This window comes from Homo sapiens, chromosome 3, assembly GCF_000001405.40.
Source record: "Homo sapiens chromosome 3, GRCh38.p14 Primary Assembly".
Lineage (NCBI taxonomy): Eukaryota > Metazoa > Chordata > Mammalia > Primates > Hominidae > Homo > Homo sapiens.
Window position 1 is genome coordinate 145,012,596 of NC_000003.12, and position 22,635 is coordinate 145,035,230.

A 22,635-nucleotide genomic window follows, 5' to 3' on the forward strand; every position below is an offset into this window, starting at 1 on the left:
TATCCCCCAAAAGTAAATTCTACATTGACTTCTAACACTAGATATATGTCTGTTATAAATTTTTCATACTTTACATAGATGATATTGTACTTTCCTGTTTCTGAATTTTTTTCCTGAACATTATCATGGTGAGATATATCCATGATTTTGCATGTGGCAACAGGAAATTGAGCATTCTTATTGTGATAGAGTATTTCATTTAATGAATACTACAAGTTATCTGTTGAACACTACTATCTATGAATACTAAAAGTTATTTGTTGCATGATGTTTGGGTTACATCCAGTTTTTGACTAACATTATGGTGCTCCCATGTGTAGACTTGTGCATATCTTGGGTGAGTATATGTGCACTATTCTGTTGAGTATATCAAGGAGGAATTTCTAGCTCATAAGGTACACACATAGTTAGATTTAGTAGATATTGCCAAATTAGTTCCCAAAGTGTTTTCACCAATTTGCATTCACTAGTAGTATATAATAGTTACACTTGCCACATAATCCTTGTTTTTTAGTCTGTCTAATGAGATTACTGTAGTATACATGGCAATTTTAATTTGTGTTCTTCTAAAGACTAATCAGCATTTTTTTATGTGCAGTTGTCATATGGGATAATTTTTATCTTCAAAACTGTCCATTTACTTTTTTTACTTATTTTCTATTTGTCTCCCTTTTTTCAAAAAATTAAATTAATATACATATATGAGAGATATATAATATATCATATACATAATCTTTCACTCTATATTTGGATGTTTTCTTTCTTAAAACTGTATTTTGAAAGAGAGAATCTACACTGTAATGTAGCCAGATTATGATTTTTTTCCTTGGGGATTTTCCTCCTTACTCTCTCAAGCTTCTAGGAGTAAACAGATTGCTTGTCTTGCATAGAAAAGCAAGGTAAATATCCTCTCTACAAGAAGCTAAGCCCCTAATGTGCTTGGTTGTGACACTAGATATCTGATCTCATGGGGCAAAGTTCTTGGGCAGCTGATGTTAGGCCTGAGTCTGGATTGTGATCTCTGAGGAAACCAAGAAACTGAGATAACCTTAAATTAACTGACAGAGAAACGTAAGAAGATGGCAGTGTTTGAAATTCAAAATTAACTTGGAAATGGGAACTAAAGATGAACTTTTTCCCCCATATTCAAATACATCTTTATGGAAATACTTTTTAAAACCATGCTCTATAACACTATCAAATTCATAGGCTCTAACGAAGTTAACCTTGTCTTTACTACAGATCCCTTCATATTGGTTTTCATTATGCTTCATCTGAAGGAGAAATAGTTGAATGTTCTAAGATTTACTTGTGTTTCAAAACTGACTAACTAATTATAGGCTCATAAATATTTTTGAGGTAGGTGGAAATTAATTACTCTCCCATAAACGGCTCAACAGATTATGATAAAACAAGTCCCAAAACAAATTTTCTGCCACACATGCAACATTTATTAATCATATGTTTATTGGCAAGCAAGCAGAAAAAAATTCAAATAATTTGTTCATCCAGCTTGAGTAAACCTTTCAAGTATCCTGACCACATCTTAAAGGGTTCATATAAGGCAAACCCTCAGCCTTCCAAAGCCAGGCCCCACTTAAAAGGAACAGAGTGGCAAGTTGGATTAAGCAAAAACACACCCAACTGTTTGCTGTCTTCAGGTCCATCTCATATGTAAAGACACTCATAGGTTTAAAGTAAGGAGTTGAAGAAAGATCTACCATGCAAATAGAAAATGAAAAAAAGAGTAGAGGTAAAACAGACTTCAAACCAAAAACAGTTAAAACGGGCAAAGAAGGGCGTTACATAATGACAAATGATTCAAGTCAACAGGAAAACTAAACGATTCTACATATATATGCAACACAAATTGAAGCACCCAGATTCATAAAACAAGTACTTTTAGACCTATGAAAAGACTTGGACAACCACACAATAACAGTGGGTGATTTCAACATGCCACTGACAGTGCTAAACAGATCTTTAAGACAGAAAATTAACAAATAAATACTGAACTTAAATTGAGGTCTTGATTAATTGGACCTAATAGATGTCTATAGAATACTCTACCCATCAAATGCAGAATATACAGTCTTCTAATTGGCATGTGGGACATACTCCAAGATTGATAACATGCTTTGTGATAGAGCAAGTCTCAATAAATTCAAAAATATAAAAATAAAAATTATACCAACCATACTGTTGGACCACATGGAATAAAAATAGAAATTAATTATAAGAAAATCTCTCAAAGCCACACAGTTCCATGAAAATTAAACAGCTTGCTCATAAATAACTTTCAGATAAACAAGGAAACTAGGGCAGACATTTAAAAAAATTCTTGAAAAAAAAATTAAAACAGAGACACAACATGCCAAAGTTTCTGGGATGCAGCAAAAGCAGCTTTATAGGGCCAAATGCCTACATCAAGCAATTAGAAAGATCTCAAATACCTAGAGGAACTAGAAAAATATGAACAAACTAACCCCAAAACTAGCAGAAGAAAAGAAATAACTAAAATCAGAGCAGAATCAAACAAAATTAAGACCCAGAAATCCATAAAAAGGATCAACAAATGAAAAAGTTGGTTTTTTGAAAGGACTAACAAGATTGACAGACTGCTAGCTAGATAAACCCAAAAGAGAAAGGGAGAAAAGCCAAATAAGCACAATCAGAAATAACAAGGGTGACATTACAACTAATCCCACAGAAATATAAAAGGCCCTTAGAGACTACTATAAACACCTCTATGCATACAAACTAAAAAATCCAGAGGATGTGGACAAAATCCTGAAACACACAACCTCCAACCTCCAAAGACTGAAACAGGAAGAAATTAAAACCACGAACAGACAGAGTTTTGAAATTCAATTAGTCATAAAACAAAATGTACTAACCAAAATAAGGCCCTGGGCCAGATGGATTCACAGATGAATTTTACCAAACATACAAAAAAGAGCTAGTACTAGTTTTACTAAAATTGTTCCAAAAAATACAGGAAGCAGAACTCTTTCAAAATTATTTCTACAATGTCAGCATCACTTTGATACCAAAATTTGGCAAAGACACAATTAAACTGCAGCCCAATATTCTTGATGAACATAGATGCAAAAATGTTCAACAAAATACTGGCAGAATGAATCCAGCAGCACATCAAAAAGTTAATTCACCACAATCAAATAGGCTTCATTCCTGATATGCAAGGTTCAACATACACAAACACAAGGTTCAACACACAATATACACAACATACATAAATCACCAAATATTATTTACCACATTCACAGAATTAAAAACAGAAACCAGGCCGGGCGCGGTGGCTCACGCCTGTAATCCCAGCACTTTGGGAGGCTGAGGCGGGCGGATCACGAGGTCAGGAGATCGAGACCATCCCGGCTAAAATGGTGAAACCCCGTCTCTACTAAAAATACAAAAAATTAGCCGGGCGTAGTGGCGGGCGCCTGTAGTCCCAGCTACTTGGGAGGCTGAGGCAGGAGAATGGCGTGAACCCGGGAGGCGGAGCTTGCAGTGAGCCGAGATCCCGCCACTGCACTCCAGCCTGGGCGACAGAGCGAGACTCCGTCTCAAAAAAAAACAAACAAACAAACAAAAAAAACAGAAACCATATGATCATCTCAATAGACATGAATAAAAAGCTTTTGATAAATAAAATTCAAAATTCCTTCATGATAAAAACCTTCAAAAAACTCGGCATCTAAGGAACACACCTCAGAATAATAATAGCCAACTATAACAAACTCCCAGCCAACGTCATACTGAACAGGCAATAACTGGAAGCATCCCCTTTGAGAGCTGGAAGAAGATGAAAATGGCCACTCTCATTACTCCTATTCAACATAGTACTGGAAGTCCCAACCAAAACAATCAGGCAAGAGAAAGAAGTAAAAGGCACCCAAACAGGAAAATAAGTCAACTATCTCTCTTCACTGACAATATGATTCTATGCTTAGAAAACTTTAAAAGATTCCATCAAAAGTCTCTTGGAACTGATAATGATAAAGTTTCAGGATACAAAACCTATGTACAAAAATCAGTAGCATTTCTATACACCAATAATGTTCAAGGTGAGAGCCAAATCAGGAATGCAATCTTATTTACAATAGCCTCAAGAAATAAAATACCTGGCCGGGCGTGGTGGCTCACACCTGTAATCCCAGCACTTTGAGAGGCCGAGGCGGGTGGATCACGAGGTCAGGAGATCCAGACCATCCTGGTTAACACGGTGAAACCCCATCTCTACTAAAAATACAAAAAAATTAGCCGAGCATGGTGGTGGGGGCCTGTGGTCCCAGCTACTCAGGAGGCTGAGGCAGGAGAATGGCATGAACCTGGGAGGCGGAGCTTGCAGTGAGCCGACATTGAGCCACTGTACTCCAGCCTAGGCAACAGAGCAAGACTCCATCTCAAAAAAAAAAAAATTAATAAATAAAATAAAATAAAATACCCAAGAATACGTCTAACCAGGAAGGTGAATGACCTCCACAAGGATAGTTACAAAACACTGCTGAAATAAATTATAAATGGCACAAACAAATGGAGAAACATTCCAGGTCATGGATTTGGAAGAATCAAATCAATATTGTTAAAATGGCCACACTGCCCAAGGAAATGTACAAATCCAACATTGTTCCCGTCAAACTATCATCATCATTTTTCATAAAATTAGAAAAAAAATAACTATTCTAAAATTAATATGGGTGATGGGATTAATTGGGCCCCAATATATGCATCACACAATACACTCATGTAACAAACCTGCACATGTATCCACTTAAACTAAAATAAAAGTTGAAAAGAGTCATAGGAATGTCAGATACTTTTTGCTTAATATGGAGGGATAGGGAAAAGTGTGAAGATTAACAAATTAACTAACATATTCAAAACTACACATTACCAAACTGAGACTCTTTGTTGCCTCTAAAAGATTTATTTATATCTAAAATAACATAATGAAACAAGGAAAACAAGACCTTTCTGAGACAGTACATTTATACTGAGGTAGTAGAAGAACTCTCTCATTTAATTAACATTAAAACAACAATAAGAGACAAACCTAAAGTTCTGATTTCGTTATGTTCCACACTAAGTATACCCCTAAAAATGAAAGGAATGTCTGGGTCCCAAATTTGATTTTTCTGCAAGTATTTTCTTTCCTGTCAATGATACTTCACAGCCACTCCCACCTGCATTGTCATTTTAAGTTTCCTAATGTTAAGAGGAGGCTGAGAAATATAATTGAATTTTAGAATCTATAGACTCATTCATCTCCAGCATCTTAAAGGCTCCAGGCAAAGTGTTTGGATATCCCACACTGAATTTTCCTGATCGGTTTACATTCAAGCCCTCAGCAACAAGAGATGCCCATTGGCCATCTTTTAGACTTTAGGAGTATGACTGGTACTGGATCAATAATCCACTCTTATTAGCAAGGACCTGCTCTAGAGACACTTGTAGGCTTTGGATGAAGACTCAGTGCTGTTTGAACAGTGAGGCTTGGCTTTCTAGCCGAGGCAGTGGTTTAGAGGGGGAGTATGGCCTCAGGGTGGCCACATACTCTTAACCACAGGAACTCCACTTTCTATCCAGACAAAATTCCTTAAGGTTTATGAAAGGGCCTTTCTTGCCTTAGACTAAATACTGCACCTGTGTTGTGCTGATTCAATTTGCCAGGTATACAAGTAACAGCAATTTAAAAATTTGCAACAGCCATTTAGAAAACATTAAAGCATAAGCTTCTATAGGCACTACAAGTAATAGGAATGCTTGTATATTAAGCTGATGACTTTTATTTTTCAGAACTCTCCCAATATTGCTTAATTTTATTCAGATACTCTCATTTTCTTCGTATTACTTCAAATATAATTTTAAATGCACTTTAAAACACTTCCTTCTTAAAAAGTCTTATATGATGTTGGACTAAATATAATAAAATAGGCACACTTTGGATTAGAAAAAAAATTACTGCTTTATATTTATTCTATGAAAACATTGATGTGTTTTCTATGTGATTAAATAGACATTTTTTGCCATTTAAGATGGAATTGTTCATGAGCCCAGGCTAAAATTTCTAGGCAAAAACCAACAGCAACAACAGTAATAATAATAACTGAAAAAAGAAAAAAAACAAAGAAAACATTTAACCATGAAGGGATAACTGATGAAATTATGTGGCACTGGAACTTAAAAGAGTGAAAAGAAATTTCTCTTTATAACCTTTTAATCATTAGATGCAACTGAAATAAAACATAAATGAGAAATTGTGATTTTTTTCCATATTGAGTGAAAATTGATAGTGATTTTTATGAAATCTCATATATGTGAAAGAATATCTATATTTACATATTAAGTGCTGCTGCAAGAATTATATTAACTAGAATGCCTCCATGCCTATATTACATATGAGGAAAATGAGCTAATTGATGTCCTTTGTTGAAAAGTTTTAAATATACTCTGTTACATCTTGTTACATAATGTATCATTTATATTATTAAGACAGTTGATTTAGTATAGATTTAGCTATTAATTCAAAGCTTACAAAAGTCTACAGTTAAGAAGTGTGTTGTGCAGTGCAAATAGTTATCATTGCTCAAATCCAATAGCTGACCTCAAATTGAGTTTGTAAGATGAGGGCATAGACTGACAGGAGCTAGCATATCAACATACTGAATTCTAGAGGCAAGTTTATTTTTCCTTTGAGAAAAGTAGTTCTTATGGTTTGCCCTTCCAGAAAAGATGGGACTTACTATGTTGACCTTTTCCTGACTTTATGGGTCTTATGGGGGAAATCTATAAGTAACTCTTTGGAACTCATTCTCAATATACGGCGGCAAATATATGTTAAGTACTGTTATAAAATTAATGTTAACAATATAGGACATTTTCAATACAATTATAACCTTTCACATATTTTGATATCTATTAATGTTGCATCAGTATCATCATATTAAAATTGACTCAATTTATATTTAATTTTAATTTTTCATTTTCAAATACAGTGTGAAAATGAATGGATTTTTGCAACAGCCTTGTAAAGAAGACCAAAATATTAGGATATAGTTATTAAACTGAATTTCTATACAATGCTTTATATAAAATGGAGTAGGAGAGATAATAAAGGGATAACATGTAACTGTCTAATAAATTTATTTTCAAGTGAGCATTCGTTTCCTATTCTAATATAAATCTGAGCTTATTAAACATTTTTCCACGAAAGTTAATTTTAATTACCAAGTAAGCAATATTTTTTTGGAAGAAGAAAATTCTAAAATTTTGGTGACAAAAATCTTATCCCAGATAAGAGATGTTAGCAAAAATATTTTTAAAAACATATAAACATTTTCTATGTTTAAGGGGAATTAATCACCCTAACTTTATGCTAAGAATCTTAACACTTGAGAAGCTTACAGATGCTAATCACTGCCTTTCTTGAGGGTGTTACGTATGTGTTGTATTTTTATTTTTATTCACGTCTTTAGAGAGTGAAAGAGGAGCAAGACAGAATAATAACTTAAGGGTGTCTTTTAGCACTTAACTTAGCTGCACATATATGGAAAAGAAAAGGTACATGATAGGTACAAGACATATTGTGCTTTCAATTTCAATGCCATTTAATAGCCAGAAGAACATTTACAAAATCAAATCATATAAAATATTAAAAGAATTTTGATGCTAATGAGGGTGGAAAAAGCTGTTGAGGTTAGAGTAAGTACAGTTACATGCTGTAAGTGTGTTATAAAAATGGGGAGGAACTGTGAAGTTTAAAACACGTCTACAACTGTAGTTTAATCTCCATATAATCTAAGCAATTATTTAAAAAAAATTTTCAATCTACGCACTTTCAATTGAAGTCACTCATGTGACCAAAACCCTCCAATGGCTTTCTGTCTCATTCAGAGTAAATCCAAAGTCCTTCCCTGTGCTTTCATCTGCCCTGTGCCATCCTCCTCCACCCCCTTTCATGCATGTCTTTGAACACACCACATCGTCTCACAAGGACTTTGTCCCAACTCTTTTCTCTACTTGTAAGTTTGGGTTGTTGGCCAGATAAACCCAGGGCTCAATCCCTTATTTCAGTTAGTACTCAGTCAGGAACACAGAAACCTCTCTGTATAATTCAAGCAGGGCGAGATTTCAGTGCAAGCATGTGGTCACAGAAGAAATGAAAAGACTAAAGCAGCAAACCAAAAAGTAGGGTACTATTGAAAGATTTAAACCTTTACCATCTGTGATAGGCAGAACAATGTCCCTGAATCCCCAAAGATGTCCACGTGCTCATTCCTGGAACCTGTAAATATGTTGTATGACTATGGCAAGGGGAATTACTATTATATATGTAATTTAAAATGCTAATCAGGTGACCTCAAAATAAGGAGATTGTTCTGAATCATTAGAATGTTATTGTTAGAATGTAATTATTAGGTCATTAGGTCGAATGTTATTATCACAATGTAATCATCACAGTTTTTATGAGTGGAAGAAGGAGTCAGAAGAATCAAAGTCTACAGACCTAAAGATGCTGCTCTGCTGATTTAGAAGAAGACAGCAGGTGTCAAGAAATGGAGCAGCATCTGAAAACTGGAAAAGTCAAGGAACCAATTCTGCCCTAAAGGCTCCAGAAGGAACACAGCAGTACTGACACCTAGCTTTCAGCCTAGTGAGAACCATTTTTAACCTCTGACCTCCAGAAATGTAAGGCAATAAATTTGCATTGATTTAAGGACAAAATTTCTGCTAAATCAGCCTATGAGCCGACATGTCCTTCTGACCTGGTGATTGGCTTAACTATATACATATAACAATAGGTCCTATAATTTTTTAATTTATGGTAGTTTTGATTATTATAAGTCACTTCACATTCATCAGGATTTTGCATTTACTTTTAAAGTTTTAACTTCCACTAATGTTTTTGAATTTTAATGTATTCTCTTATCCCTGAATGCTCTACTAAGTATCGAACTTGTATGTCAAAACTTATTTTATATAGTTTATACATTATATAAAATAAGTTTATCTTACATAAACTTATTTTTATGTAAGTTTATGTAGTTTATGTAAGATAAACTTATTTTATATAATGTTAGATAGACATTTTATTGGACAGTCACAGATAATATAATTTTATTAATATCATTATGTTAAATACAAGAGCTATTATGTTCTAAAAATACTATTGTATTTATGTTCTTTCCTTTTCGATATGCCTCACACAGGCTGCATTCTTTCCTATTCCTTATTTTTGTAAAAGGTCTACTATCCCTTGGAATTTTAAAGTGAAAAGTCAGGCATATATTCTAACATGTGTCATTCATAACCTACTGACTATTTTACATCTTAACTACTTGACTTTTTCCCTTCTTCATCATCTTAAGCATCCTGACACTCACTGTGCTAGTTCTGGTCATCAACTTTTCTTGCCTAGGTAATTGTTTTTCTTCTTTGTTGTAGCATCTTCCACTTGCAGCTTTTTAAATAGTCATATTTTCTATTTTACTTTTAATTGACTTGAAATCATTATATATATTTATGTGATACACTGTGATATATTTTGATACATGTATGTGATATGTAATGATTAAATCAGGATATTTAGCATATCCATCACTAAAACATTTATCATTGCTTTTGGTTACGATCATCTCCTTTTTAGCTATTAGAAAATATATTATAAATTATTAGCCATAGTCACCTTACAGTACTATAGAACCCTAGAACCTATTCCTCCTATCTAGCTGTAATTTTTTGTATCCCTTTTATAGTTTCCATCCTTCCCTGTCATCATCAAAATTGAATAATTTTATTTTGTATCCTTTTGATTATATCTCACATTGTAAGTTTTTCCTTTAAAAGACAGAAAGCTACTACTTCCTAGTCACCTTTGCAGCTAGTATGCAGACATATTATCTAGATTTCATCAATCAAATATACATCAAGTTTTCAGTTCTGAAGTTAGAAGTGAAGTGCCTGTTTTGCTGTAACAGGTTGTGACAGAAAGCAGCACGGCTTTCAATTTCAGGCTGTTCTTTTGCAGTCTTGAGTTGATTAGTATCAGTATCACAAACTGTCAGCCCAGTGTGTGGTGTTGTTCAGAGTATTTCTCCAGTAAATTTAATCTCGAACCTGTTTTTCTAGACATTTCAATGATTCTGTGAGCTAACATATCTTCCCAAAGCCTAATTCCAGTGTCAAACCTCATCACTGCTGAATTTCTTCAATGACCCACATGCCAGGATGAAGTTCTGGCTCTTTGAAATTATATCCAATCTCCTCCATGACAAAACTTCAGCTTTGGTTTCTATCCTTTCCTACTGTGTCTGACACATGACGTTTTACAACTTCACGATTCTTTCTCTTGATATCTAAAATAACTTAGTTCTTGATATCTAAAATATTTTCCCTCATCACTTCCACCCTCTATCCTGCCAATCAGTAAGCTCAAGAGCTCCTCCAGGAAGCCTTCAATGTCTTTTTCTCAACCTGTTCCTGTTTTCAGCAAAGTGACATTCTTCTGTGACCTCATAGCTCCCTGCATATTCTATCATAAAATTATCTTTATTATATATAATTATCTGTGTTTATGTGCCTACCATACACTTAGTGAGTTCCTTGATAGAGGCTGAAGATAAATTTGTATATTTCCAACACTTATCAAGCACCTGTTATTTAGTACATTTCGTACACGAATGATTATCTTATAAGTATCAATATAACTACATGTGATTGGGATTACACTTATAACTAAAACAGAGAGAGGCAAGGATAGGGAAAACATCTTTCTCATTCCTAAAGGTATAGAAATCAAGATACATTTATTTCTTTCGAGATGCTGTGTGTGAGAGACATTCTGTGAACAAATAGGTTTGGAAAATATTGAAGAATGCACCTTTTATTGCATATTTATTATATTTATTGACATCGTCAAAGTTCTATGAAATCGTGCAACCCCATCAAAAAGTGGGCGAAGGACATGAACAGACACTTCTCAAAAGAAGACATTTATGCAGCCAAAAAACACATGAAAAAATGCTCATCATCACTGGCCATCAGAGAAATGCAAATCAAAACCACAATGAGATACCATCTCACACCAGTTAGAATGGCAATCATTAAAAAGTCAGGAAACAACAGGTGCTGGAGAGGATGTGGGGAAATAGGAACACTTTTACACTGTTGGTGGGACTGTAAACTAGTTCAACCCTTGTGGCAGTCAGTGTGGCGATTCCTCAGGGATCTAGAACTAGAAATACCATTTGACCCAGCCATCCCATTACTGGGTATATACCCAAAGGACTATAAATCATGCTGCTATAAAGACACATGCACACGTATGTGTATTGCGGCACTATTTACAATAGCAAAGACTTGGAACCAACCCAAATGTCCAACAATGGCAGACTGGATTAAGAAAATGTGGCACATATACACCATGGAATACTATGCAGCCATAAAAAAATGATGAGTTCATGTCCTTTGTAGGGACATGGATGAAATTGGAAATCATCATTCTCAGTAAACTATCGCAAGAACAAAAAACCAAACACCGCATATTCTCACTCATAGGTGGGAACTGAACAATGAGAACACATGGACACAGGAAGGGGAACATCACACTCTGAGGACTGTTGTGGGGTGGGGGGAGGGGGGAGGAATAGCTTTAGGAGATATACCTAATGCTAAATGAAGAGTTAATGGGTGCAGCACACCAGCATGGCACATGTATACATATGCAACTAACCTGCACATTGTGCACATGTACCCTAAAACTTAAAGTATAATAATAATAAAATAAATAAATAAATAAAATAAAATAAAGATAACATAGACAAAAAAAAGGTTAATTAGGTTCCAAAAAAAAAAAAGAAATCCTGCAATATCAAAAATATGTAACTTCAGTTTCTATTTTGTAGTGTTCCATATTAACAGCTTAAGGAAATAGGGTTCCTAGGGACACAAATAGAATAAGAGTGTAGAAGTGAAAACAGAGTCAGCCATGTGTCTCAGTATGATCTTGTCCATCATTTTCAATGCTGGGGGATGTGAGTCTGTTTTATTATTCCATTATATTATACCTTTTTTGAATGTTCAGAAATCTGCAATTTAAATGTTTTATATGGAAAAGAGCATAGTGCTTTTAGTTCTCATTGGAATCAATGATGGCAATGCTAAGCCTGAGTAAAAAATATTTGACAGTAAACTTCTCTTTTTAATCTATTCATTTCAAATTGATTTTTCAAAATTGACCTATGCTGCTGTCAACAATCCTCACTTTGATACTGATTTGACTCAACGTCAAACAAACCAAATAAGCAGGATTCTGAAGCAGGGAAGTCAAGTTAACAGACAGTAAATTTGACATTCTGAAGAATAATTTGTTTTAAAATGATGAATATCATAATTTTCATGAGTCTACACATTATAATAGAAGCTATATGTCTGTAAAGAATTGATTTCTTATCAAAATAAAAGCTAAAGCTATTTTTGAATGTAACTATCTTGAAAGTGTAGCATTTTTTTGAAATTATATGTGGTAGCAAAGCAACTTTCATATAGTTATTAATTTTACACTCGAGATTTATTCTAGAGATTGCTAATTGATTATCTTTCCATATATTTTACTTTTTAGCTATTGAAAATGGTCACCCAGAATAACACATTTCCCCACTTTTCCTGAAGCTAGATTTGAAGATATGACTACCTTGTGGCCAGTGGGATATAAATGCATCTTTTCTGTGTAGACTTCTGGGAACTTTTTTAGGAGAGCCCTAGCTACATCCTTTCTGGATCCTAATACCTGTAGCAAAGAGGAAACTTTGCACAATGGGGATAAGGATCACACCATACAGATGATAAATGATTACATTGGAAGAATCCAGGCTATAAAAAATTGTATTTTTCAAAAAGGATACAGCAAGATTTCAGATCTCAAATACTGTTCCAGAACCTATTGCCTGTGACAATCGTTACTCCCCCTAAAGAGGCAAAATGATTTCCTTTCCACTGGAACCGGGGTCAAATTTTTTGATGGCCTTGATGAATAAAGTGTGGCACAAGTGACACTGCAAGACTTTGGAGGGTAGGCCATAAAGGGAAAGAAAGCTTCTGGGTTTCTTTTAGTCCTGGGACTGGGCTGCCATACTGTGACAAAGCACACATGAAAGAACATCAAGAGATGTTTAGATGAAATCCAAATCACATTTATGTGAATCCAGCCCCCAGCCTTTGAATCCTTCAGTTAACTTCCCCAACTTTGTGGAGTAGAGAAAAATTGTCCCCACTGTGACTATCCAAATATCTTGCCTTCACAATCTGAACATAATAAATTTTTGATTTATACCAATACATTTTGTAATAATTTTGTTACAGAGCCAGATAAATTGAAACACTGGATTACTGGAGACTTTGTTGATTAGTGTTGTCAAACAAACTCTGGAATGAATCACTCTAAACTTTATTGTAAAAACAAATCAACATTATTATGTTTAAGCCATTGTTATCAGATTTTCTTACTTATAGCCGAGGGTAATCTTTCTTTTGCTCAGTGATCTCTCTCATGCTCATAGGTACAACTGCCATGTGTAGACCCATTACCCAAATCTCTATCTTGGACTGACACCTTGCTGATGAGCTGCACATTCATATATTTGATTGCCTACAGATTATCTTTACTCTAATATCTTACAGGAAGATCAGATACAGCATATATATCTCAACTCAAACTCATTAATATTTATCCACAATCTTATCTTCATTCTACATTCTGTACTTTGGTTAAAGGCACCATAAAACACCCAGTCAATCATAAAAACAGAGTACCCACTTGGTATTTGATATGGCTTGGCTCTGTGTCTCCACCTAAATGTCATCGTGTAGCTCCTATAATTCCCATATGTTGTGGAAGGGACCTGGTGGGAGATGACTGAATGATGGGGTTGGGTCTTTCCAATGCTTTTCTTGTGATAGTCAATGGGTGTTATGAGATATAATTGTTTTAAAAACAGAAGTTTCTCAGCACAAACCCTCTTTGCCTGCTGCCATCCCCATAAGATGTGATTTGCTCCTCCTTGCCTTCCACCATGATTGTGGGGCCTCTGCAGTCATGTGGGACTGTAAGTCCAATAAACCCTTTTTCCTTTATTAATTACCCAGTCTCAGGTATGTCTTTATCAGCAGTGTGAAAACCGACTAATACAGTACATTGGTACCAGTAGAGTAGGGTGCTTCTATAAATATACCCAAATATGTGGAAGCTATTTGGGAACTGAGTAACAGGAAGAGGTTGGAACAGTTGGAAGACCCAGAAGAATACAGGATAATGTGGGAAAATTTGTAACTTCCCAGAGACTTGTTGAAGCTTTTAACAAAATGTTGATAGTGATAAGGACAATGAAATCCAGGCTGAGGTGGTCACAGATGGAGATGAAGAACTTGTTGGAAACTGGAGTAAAAGTGCCTTTTGCTATGTTTTACCAAGGAGACTGGCAGCCTTTTGCTTCTTCCCTAGAGATTTGTGAAACTTTGAACTTGAGAGAGATGATTTAGGGTATCTAGTAGAAGAAACTTCTAAGCAGCAAAACGTTGAAAAAGTCACTTGGGTGCTGTTAAAGGCATTCAGTTTTAAAAGAGAAACAGCATAAAAGTTCAGAAAATTTGCAGCCTGAAAATGCAATAGAAAAGAAAATCCAATTTTCTGAGGAGAAATTCAAGCCAGCTGCAGAAATTGCATAAGTTATGAGGAGCCAAATGTTAATCCCAAGACAATGAGGAAAATGTCCCCAGGGAATGTTAGAGGTCTTCATGGCAGCCCCTCCCATCACAGGCCCAGAGGCCTAGGAAGAAAAAGTGGTTTCATGGGCTGGGCTCAGGGATCCCGTTGTGTGTGCAGCCTAGGGACTTGGTGCCCTGTGTCCCAGCCACTCCAGTCATCGCTGAAAGGGGCCAATGTCAAGCTCTGGCCATGGATTCAGAGGGTGTAAGCCTCAATCTTGGCAGAATAAACATGGTGTTGAGCCTGCAAGTGCACAGAAATCAAGAACTAAGATTTGGGAAACTCCAGCTAGATTCCAGAGGATGTATGGAAATGCCTGGATGTCCATGCAGAAGTTTGCTGTAGGGGTGGGGTCCTCATGGAGAACCTCTGCTAGGACAGTGCAGAAGGAAAATGTGGGGCGGGAGCCCCCATACAGAGTCCTTACTGGGGCACCAACTAGTGGAACAGTGAGAAGAAGGCCACTGTCCTCCAGACTCCTGAATGGTAGATCCACTGACAGCTTGCACTGTGTACCTGGAACAGCTGCAAACACTCAATGCCAGCCCATGAAAGCAGCCTGGAGAGAAGCTGTACCCTGCAAAGCCATGGGGGTGGATCTGCCCAAGACCATAGGAACCCACCTCTTGCATCAGTGTGACCTGGATTTGAGACATGGAGTCAAAGGAGATCATTTTGGAGCTTTAAGATTTGACTTCCCCACTGAATTTTGGACTTGCATGGGGTCTGTAGCCCCCTTTTTTTGGCCAATTTCCCATTTGGAATGGCTGCATTTACCCAATGACTCTACCCCCATTGTATCTAGGGAGTAATTAACTTGCTTTTGATTTTACAGGCTCATAGGCAGGAGGGACTTGCCTTGTCTTGGATGAGACTTTCGACTTTGGACTTTTGAGTTAATGCTGAAATGAGTTAAGACTTTGGGGGTGCTGTTGGGAAGGCGTGATCAGTTTTGAAATGTGAAGGTATGAAATATGGGAGGGACCAAGGGCAGAATGATATTGTTTGGCTCTGTGTCCCCACCTAAATCTCATCTTGTAGCTCCTATAATTCCCTAATGCTGTGAAAGGGAGCTGGTGGAAGGTGATTGAATCATGGGCAGGTCTTTCCCATGCTGTTCTCTTGATGGTGCGTAAGTCTCGTGAGATATGATGGTTTTAAAAATGGGAGTTTTTCTGCACAAGCTCCCTCTTTGCCTGCTGCCATCCATGTAAGATGTGACTTGCTCCTACTTGCCTTCTGCCATGATTGTGAGGCCTCCCCAGCCATGTGGAACTGTAAGTCCAATAAACCTTTTTTCTTGTATAAATTACCCAGTCTTGGTTATGTCTTTATCAGCAGTGTGAAAATGGACTAATACAGTATTCCTTCATGTTTCTCTTCCAGTCATATAATTGTTTAATCCAAAATTAAATTCTGTCAAATGAGAAGCCTAGTACACTTTTGCTGTGAATGTAAATTAGTACAGCCACTAGGGAGAATAGTTTGGAGGTTCCTCAAAAGACTAAAAATAGAGATACCGTATAGTCCAGCAATTCTACTGCTGGGTATACAACCCCCCCAAAAAAAGGAAATCAGTATATTGAAGACATATCTGCATTTTCGTGTTTTTTTTTTTTGGTAGCACTATTCACAATAGCAAAGATTTGGAAGCAATCTGTGTCCATCAACAGAGGATAAAAAAATGTGGTGCCTATACGCAGTGGAGTATTAGTCAGCCATAACAAATAATGAGCTCCTGTCATTTGCCACAACATGGATGGAACCGAAAGTCATTATGTTAAGGGAAGTAAACCAGGCACAGAAAGACAAATTTTGCAGGTTCTTACTTATTTAAGGTTGGAAACATTTAAAAAATTGAACTCATGGGTATAGAGAGTAGAATGATGATTACTAGAGGCTAGGAAGAGTAGTAGATAGTGGGGAGGAAGAGGGTAGTAATGAGTACAAAAATGTAGTTAGATAGAATAAAGATCTAGTATTTGATAGCACAACAGAGTAACTACAGTCAACTATGGTTTATTATACATTTTAAAATAACTAAAAGAGGATTGCTTGCAATACAAATAAAGAATAAATGTTTGAGGTTACAGATATCCCATTTACCCTAATGTGATTATTATGCATTATATGCCTGTACCAAAATATCTCTTGTACACCATAAATATATATATATATCTACTATGGACCCACAAAAATTAAAAATTTAAAATTTAAAAAATATATTTAAAAACAAAACACAACAAAACTACATTAAGTTCTGTTGATTCCACTAAAATTTTCTCCCTTTCGGCAATACCCATTTTTCATATTTTAGTTATGTATATTAATCTTTACCTACACCACCCATAACCATTTGCTGCAGTAGTTTCCTCATTTATACTATCATTGATCTATCCTCTCTTGTGCAGCTAGAGATTTTTTCAAAACAAAAATGTGAGCACATGAGTTCCCTAATGATAGTGCTCTGGCTTACATCTCCCATTTAATATTATGTCATGCTTTCAACCATAAAGAACCAAGACTAATGTAGATAATCCTTCTCTGTATCATTCTAGCACCATTTTCATTTATCAACCACAGCATGTAACCTATAGTTACTTGTTTCTCTCATTCTTATGTGATATTCATAAATTATTGACCATATCTTTTCCCTCTGTATGCTCTAGCTTAATGCCTGGTACATTACATACACTCATAAATATTTTTGGAATAATTGAAGTATGTAACAGCCTACCATTTACCTAACATTTCAAAAATTATTTCTTACCCCTCCCTCTACCCTAATAATGAAAGTATCAGATGCTTCTTTTGCTTAAACAGTATTTTTTATCTATTATATAATTTACTTCTATTCTACTTGCCTATGCATGTGACAGTGTCCATTTATTTAATCCGGAGCAGAGGCAGATTTACTGTGAAGCTAATGAGGCTTAAACTTCAGGCCACTTAATTGCATAACCTCCTCTAAAGCCAGATATCTAATGTTTTCATAATTTGTATTCTGTTTTTCTAAACATATTTTCCTAACTTATATACATACCCCACAAAACGTGGACTAATACCTGTTCCAATTATAATTTAGGTACCTACCATGTGACAGAAACTACACTATATGCATGAATATAAAAATAAATAAAATAAGTTTAATTTTACATATTTTCAGGAATCAGAATGCTCCATTTGCTGGAGATCATGCTTACTACATCCTACATTATCACAATATCTCATAGTGTCTGGTCTCTCTACCCTCTTATTCATTCCCCTTAATACTAAGAAAAAAATAGAAAATTCATTAAACTCTAATTTCAACATACCTTTTCAGTCACAAAGCCTGTGATGCTGCCCCTTTCTAAATAGTCCTTTATTATAATAATTCTATGTTCAAGGCAAACTAAATTATTTATTAATAATCACCTGATTGTCTTTCTGTTCAGGTTATTTTTCTCCTTTCAGTATCAAGTTTTTATATATTGTTTCTCTCTAGAACATTCTCCAACACAAATTGGCAGAGTGAGTAACTGATTCCTTTGCCCTCTCAACAATTTGACCATACCTTTAGCATTGTGTTTATCCCACTGTGCCAGTTAGGATATGTCAGTTTGAATTGCATTCAGCTGCCTGAAAAGAATCCATTAATAATAGTGATTCTCTTGATTATTTTGCTTGTTCATTAGATCTTTTCTTCCATTTTTTTCCTGCTCCTTGCCCAGGAAGGTATATCTCTACACACTGCTTCAAACCAGCTCCTTCCCCCTCTAGATTTTAGGTGGGTCCAGTTAATTGGAGATGCTGGCAGGAAATTGTTCTCTCTCTTTTTTTTTTTTTTTAGCAATACAGTATTTTAAATTAAAGTTAACTGCATTGTATTTTAGACAGTGTTATTACATGCTTAATGGACTAAAATATAGTGTAACTTTTACATGCACTGGGGAACCCAAAAAATGTGTGACTTACTTCATTTTTTAATAATTTCAACTTTTATTATAGATTAAAGGGTATATGTGCAGGTTTGTAGGTATATTGTGTGACACTGAAGTTTGGGATACAAATGATCCTATCCCCCACGTAGTGAGCATAATACCCAATGGATGTTTTTCCTTACTTGCAAGCGGGAGCTAAACATGCATACACATAAATATAAAGATGGAAACAAGAGACACTGGGGATTTCTAGACAGAGGAGGGAGAGGAGGAGGGAGATTGCTGTTTGAATGGAAAAAGTAGCCAGAGTATTTTCCCCTTTTATCTTCCTGCTAGGCCTTGGCAGTAGCTATGAAATTGTTGTTTGAATAGAAAAAGTAGCCCAAGTATTCTCCCCTTTTATCTTCCTGCTAGGTCTTGGCAGTAGGTATATCCTTCTCCTTATAATTTCAGATGTTGTTGAGTGACCCTTCTGCTGTGATCATAGCTCTTACTTCTTATCATGTTCTGGTATTATGTGTCTTTTTTTTTTTTTATTTGTCATGTCAAGCAAAGGAGAGGTAATGACTTTCTATTCTTGCTGGATCTGGGTGCTTCATCATGTCCTCTTTGGTTCCTTTCACCTTGACCTCACCTCTGCAATAATTCTTTTGTTCCATTCGTTACATTAAAAACATTATCCCCTTGAGTGCGTCATCTGCTTCTTCCTGCAAGAAGTATTTTGGTAATTAGTATCATCTTGGACCCAGACGACAAGCGTCAAAATTGGATTCTAGGACTGGGTGGCTCACATATTTGATGAATGAAGAAATAATCTCTCTTAAATCTCATTTTCATTGACCTATCTAAAATGGACACTTGGCTGCAATGGGAGCAGAAAATGAAACTTTTATTCTAAGCAGTAATGGGCCATGCTGATTAATAGGGTCTTTCCAAAGGAAAAGGAATGAATGGATAATTATTATGCAACTAGCAGATTTTGTCACATATGGTTACATGAGTATGAATCTAAATTCTCGAAGAGTCTGAAATTCTATAGCTATTTAAGTTCCCAGATGATTCCAGAAATTAGGAATTGAGAAATTGCAAAATTAGAAATAACACATTCTCTTTAGAACCATAAGATTTTGAGCCTGACACTTATAAAGGTAGTTGTATTTTCTCTAAAAAGTGTGCATATGTCTATTGATATTAAATTCAAGGTATTTTCCTCATATTACTCATTATTTATCTTTTTGTAATGACAAGTACTTTTTACAGAGTTAAGAAAGAAAAATCACACAAACATTAAAAATTAAACAAAAGTTTTTTTCTGAAAATGATTCCCTTATTGATTTGGCATTAGAATATTTGGTGTTAGCCTTTGCTTATCCATCCATATTACCAAATTGTACCAAGCTTTGAGAAATGTAAGAGATTATATTGTCTTCCTACAGAGAAGAAGGTGACATGATTATGTTCTTGGTATAAGAACATACATTTTGATTATAAACTACTTCTTAATTTCATAAACACTTATCAGAAAGTTGATTCCATGAGGAAGTTAAGTTACAGAGCAGATTTGAAAATAAAATACTTGACTATGGCTCAAAAATTAGGTTATGGTTCTGCTTCTACTAATAAATCAGTAATGTGACCTTTTCAACCTTCAGTTTCCTCATTCTGAAAATGGGAGGTTTAAGGGACTGTATCATTGCTTCCTTTCCAGGTTTACAATTTTGGAATTCGGTGAGTAATCTTTGCTCATAAAGAATTTTTAAGAAGATTAAGTTGATTTTAGTTTCTGAGGCTATCACAAATCTTTATCCACTGCCATGGCTTCAGGCAAGTCATTGAAAAAAATCATACACCCCTGGGAAATGTCAAGGTCCAAGATATTGCCCTTGAAATTGCTGTTAGCTCATGTTCCCCAAATTAACAACAATAAGAAGATACAAATACTAGAAAACCTTAAAGTGACTGAGGACTGCCTTGATCTCTCAACAGGCTAAGCTTGATAGACTGAAGGAATCTTTCTTTAAAGGAACATTTTCTTTTACTCTGTTGCCTTGAGACCATTGTCACTTGTACCTTCAGATTACAATATCACGTCAACAGCCCTGGCCATTTCTTGATACTGAAGTCCATAAACAAACCTCAGGGTAGCTCAATATCCTCATGTGAGAGGAGCCGAAGTCCTTCAGTAGTAATTCCTCTTTCTCAAATCGCCCTTCCTACCAGGACTTGTTAATTGCCAGATAGGGTTTAATATTTATGAAGCTGCTACATACTGTTTTTAAGGCTGAGATCCTGACCAGAGAAGAATCAGCAAACTGGAGTGCTACCTAGTGATTCCATGATGCCTGGGGCTCTCATCACTCCAACTCATAACTTCTCCTCTACTTAAAGTCAGAGAATAAGTCCTTTAGCCCTCTTCCAATATAAAGTAACAGCCTGAATACTGTATCTCTGGAGAAAATAAATTCACAGTTTGAAATAACTGAATAATATGATTTCCCTAAAAAAAGAAAGACAGCAAACTGGATCGCAGGTATCATTTAAAGCAGATGTATTAGTACAGAAGGGCCAAGAATGTAAAATGTTGTCTTCAGTTGGCACTGTAGATACAACAGTCCATCCTAATAGAGAAGAAAATCAACCGAAGAAAGTTTATTTAAAAATATTTGAATTGCCAACATTAGTATCTGGCCCATTGCCCTTATGCGACATTAAAGAAAGAGGATAAACTTAAATTCTGATTTGGAGTTTCCATTTAATGATTAGTTCGTCCTTCTCACCTCTAGGTAAGCTCTTTTGATGTATACTGATATGATCATCCTGAGCAGCCTCATGCCTCACTTGCTTTAATGCTTATACTTCTAACCTTTAACAATAATGCACAATAAAAGCACTGCTTAACTGTAGGACATAAGTCCATATGTATGTATCCTGATTCATCCTATGTCTTTGTCTTTATTCCTTGTTCTTTACAACATAGCACAACAACCTTATTTGTTCCCTTGCTACTTAATGCATCAAGACTTTTGCATTACTTCTAGTTTGCTGTTATTAGAAGTTTTAAGGTAAAAGCGAATGTGGTATCTGAAAGGAGGTTTAAAAAAGAGGAAGTAGACGAGGCAGGAGTAGGAAGCATCATCATAGAGCTATATATCATGGAAAAGGGAAAACCAATATCCTGGAACAAACCTGATACCCTGGAATAAACCTGTACAAATTCTTTTCAAGCAGACTCTTAGCTTGAATGTAGGACTTGGCTTGAATGTAAGGTTTTAACAGACTCTGTCTCTAAATGCTCAGGCTGGTTTAGTAATTTAAAGATACTACAAGAGATATAGTGATGGCTCCAGTCCCATCACTAATGATTCTGAAATATTCTCACCAATCTTGCTTCGTATAACACAAGTAATGGACTCAGTTCTACAAAACAATAAGGGAAAAGAAGAATAAAATGAGTTAATATGTGTAAATGTTCTTAAATAGCTTTTTTAATGACAAAGGCAAACTTTTTCTCTTTCAATAACAAACGTTTTGAAAGAGATTTGAATTATAATAGTCATTTGTCTTTCACACTAATTACTTGAGTCCATAAATAATGATTGTACTTTGATCAGAATGACCAGAGCTTGGATCTCAAACTTGGCACAAAGTAGCCTGCCACTTCTCAAAGCCTGTAACTGAGGTGGCTGTTATCTTACTTTTTTTCATTAAAATACAATATCTTTCATATTGTGACATATGGATGCCAAAGTACAATGAAGTGTGATATTTTGGGATGAAAATAAACTGTTTTCTTTATGGGTGAGATTAATGTTTACATCCATGGAAACCTAAATCCCAACACATGTGATGTTGTTTGGCTCTGTGTCCCCACTCAAATCTCATCTCAAACTGTAATCCCCATAATGCCCACATGTCAAGGGAGCTCCCTGG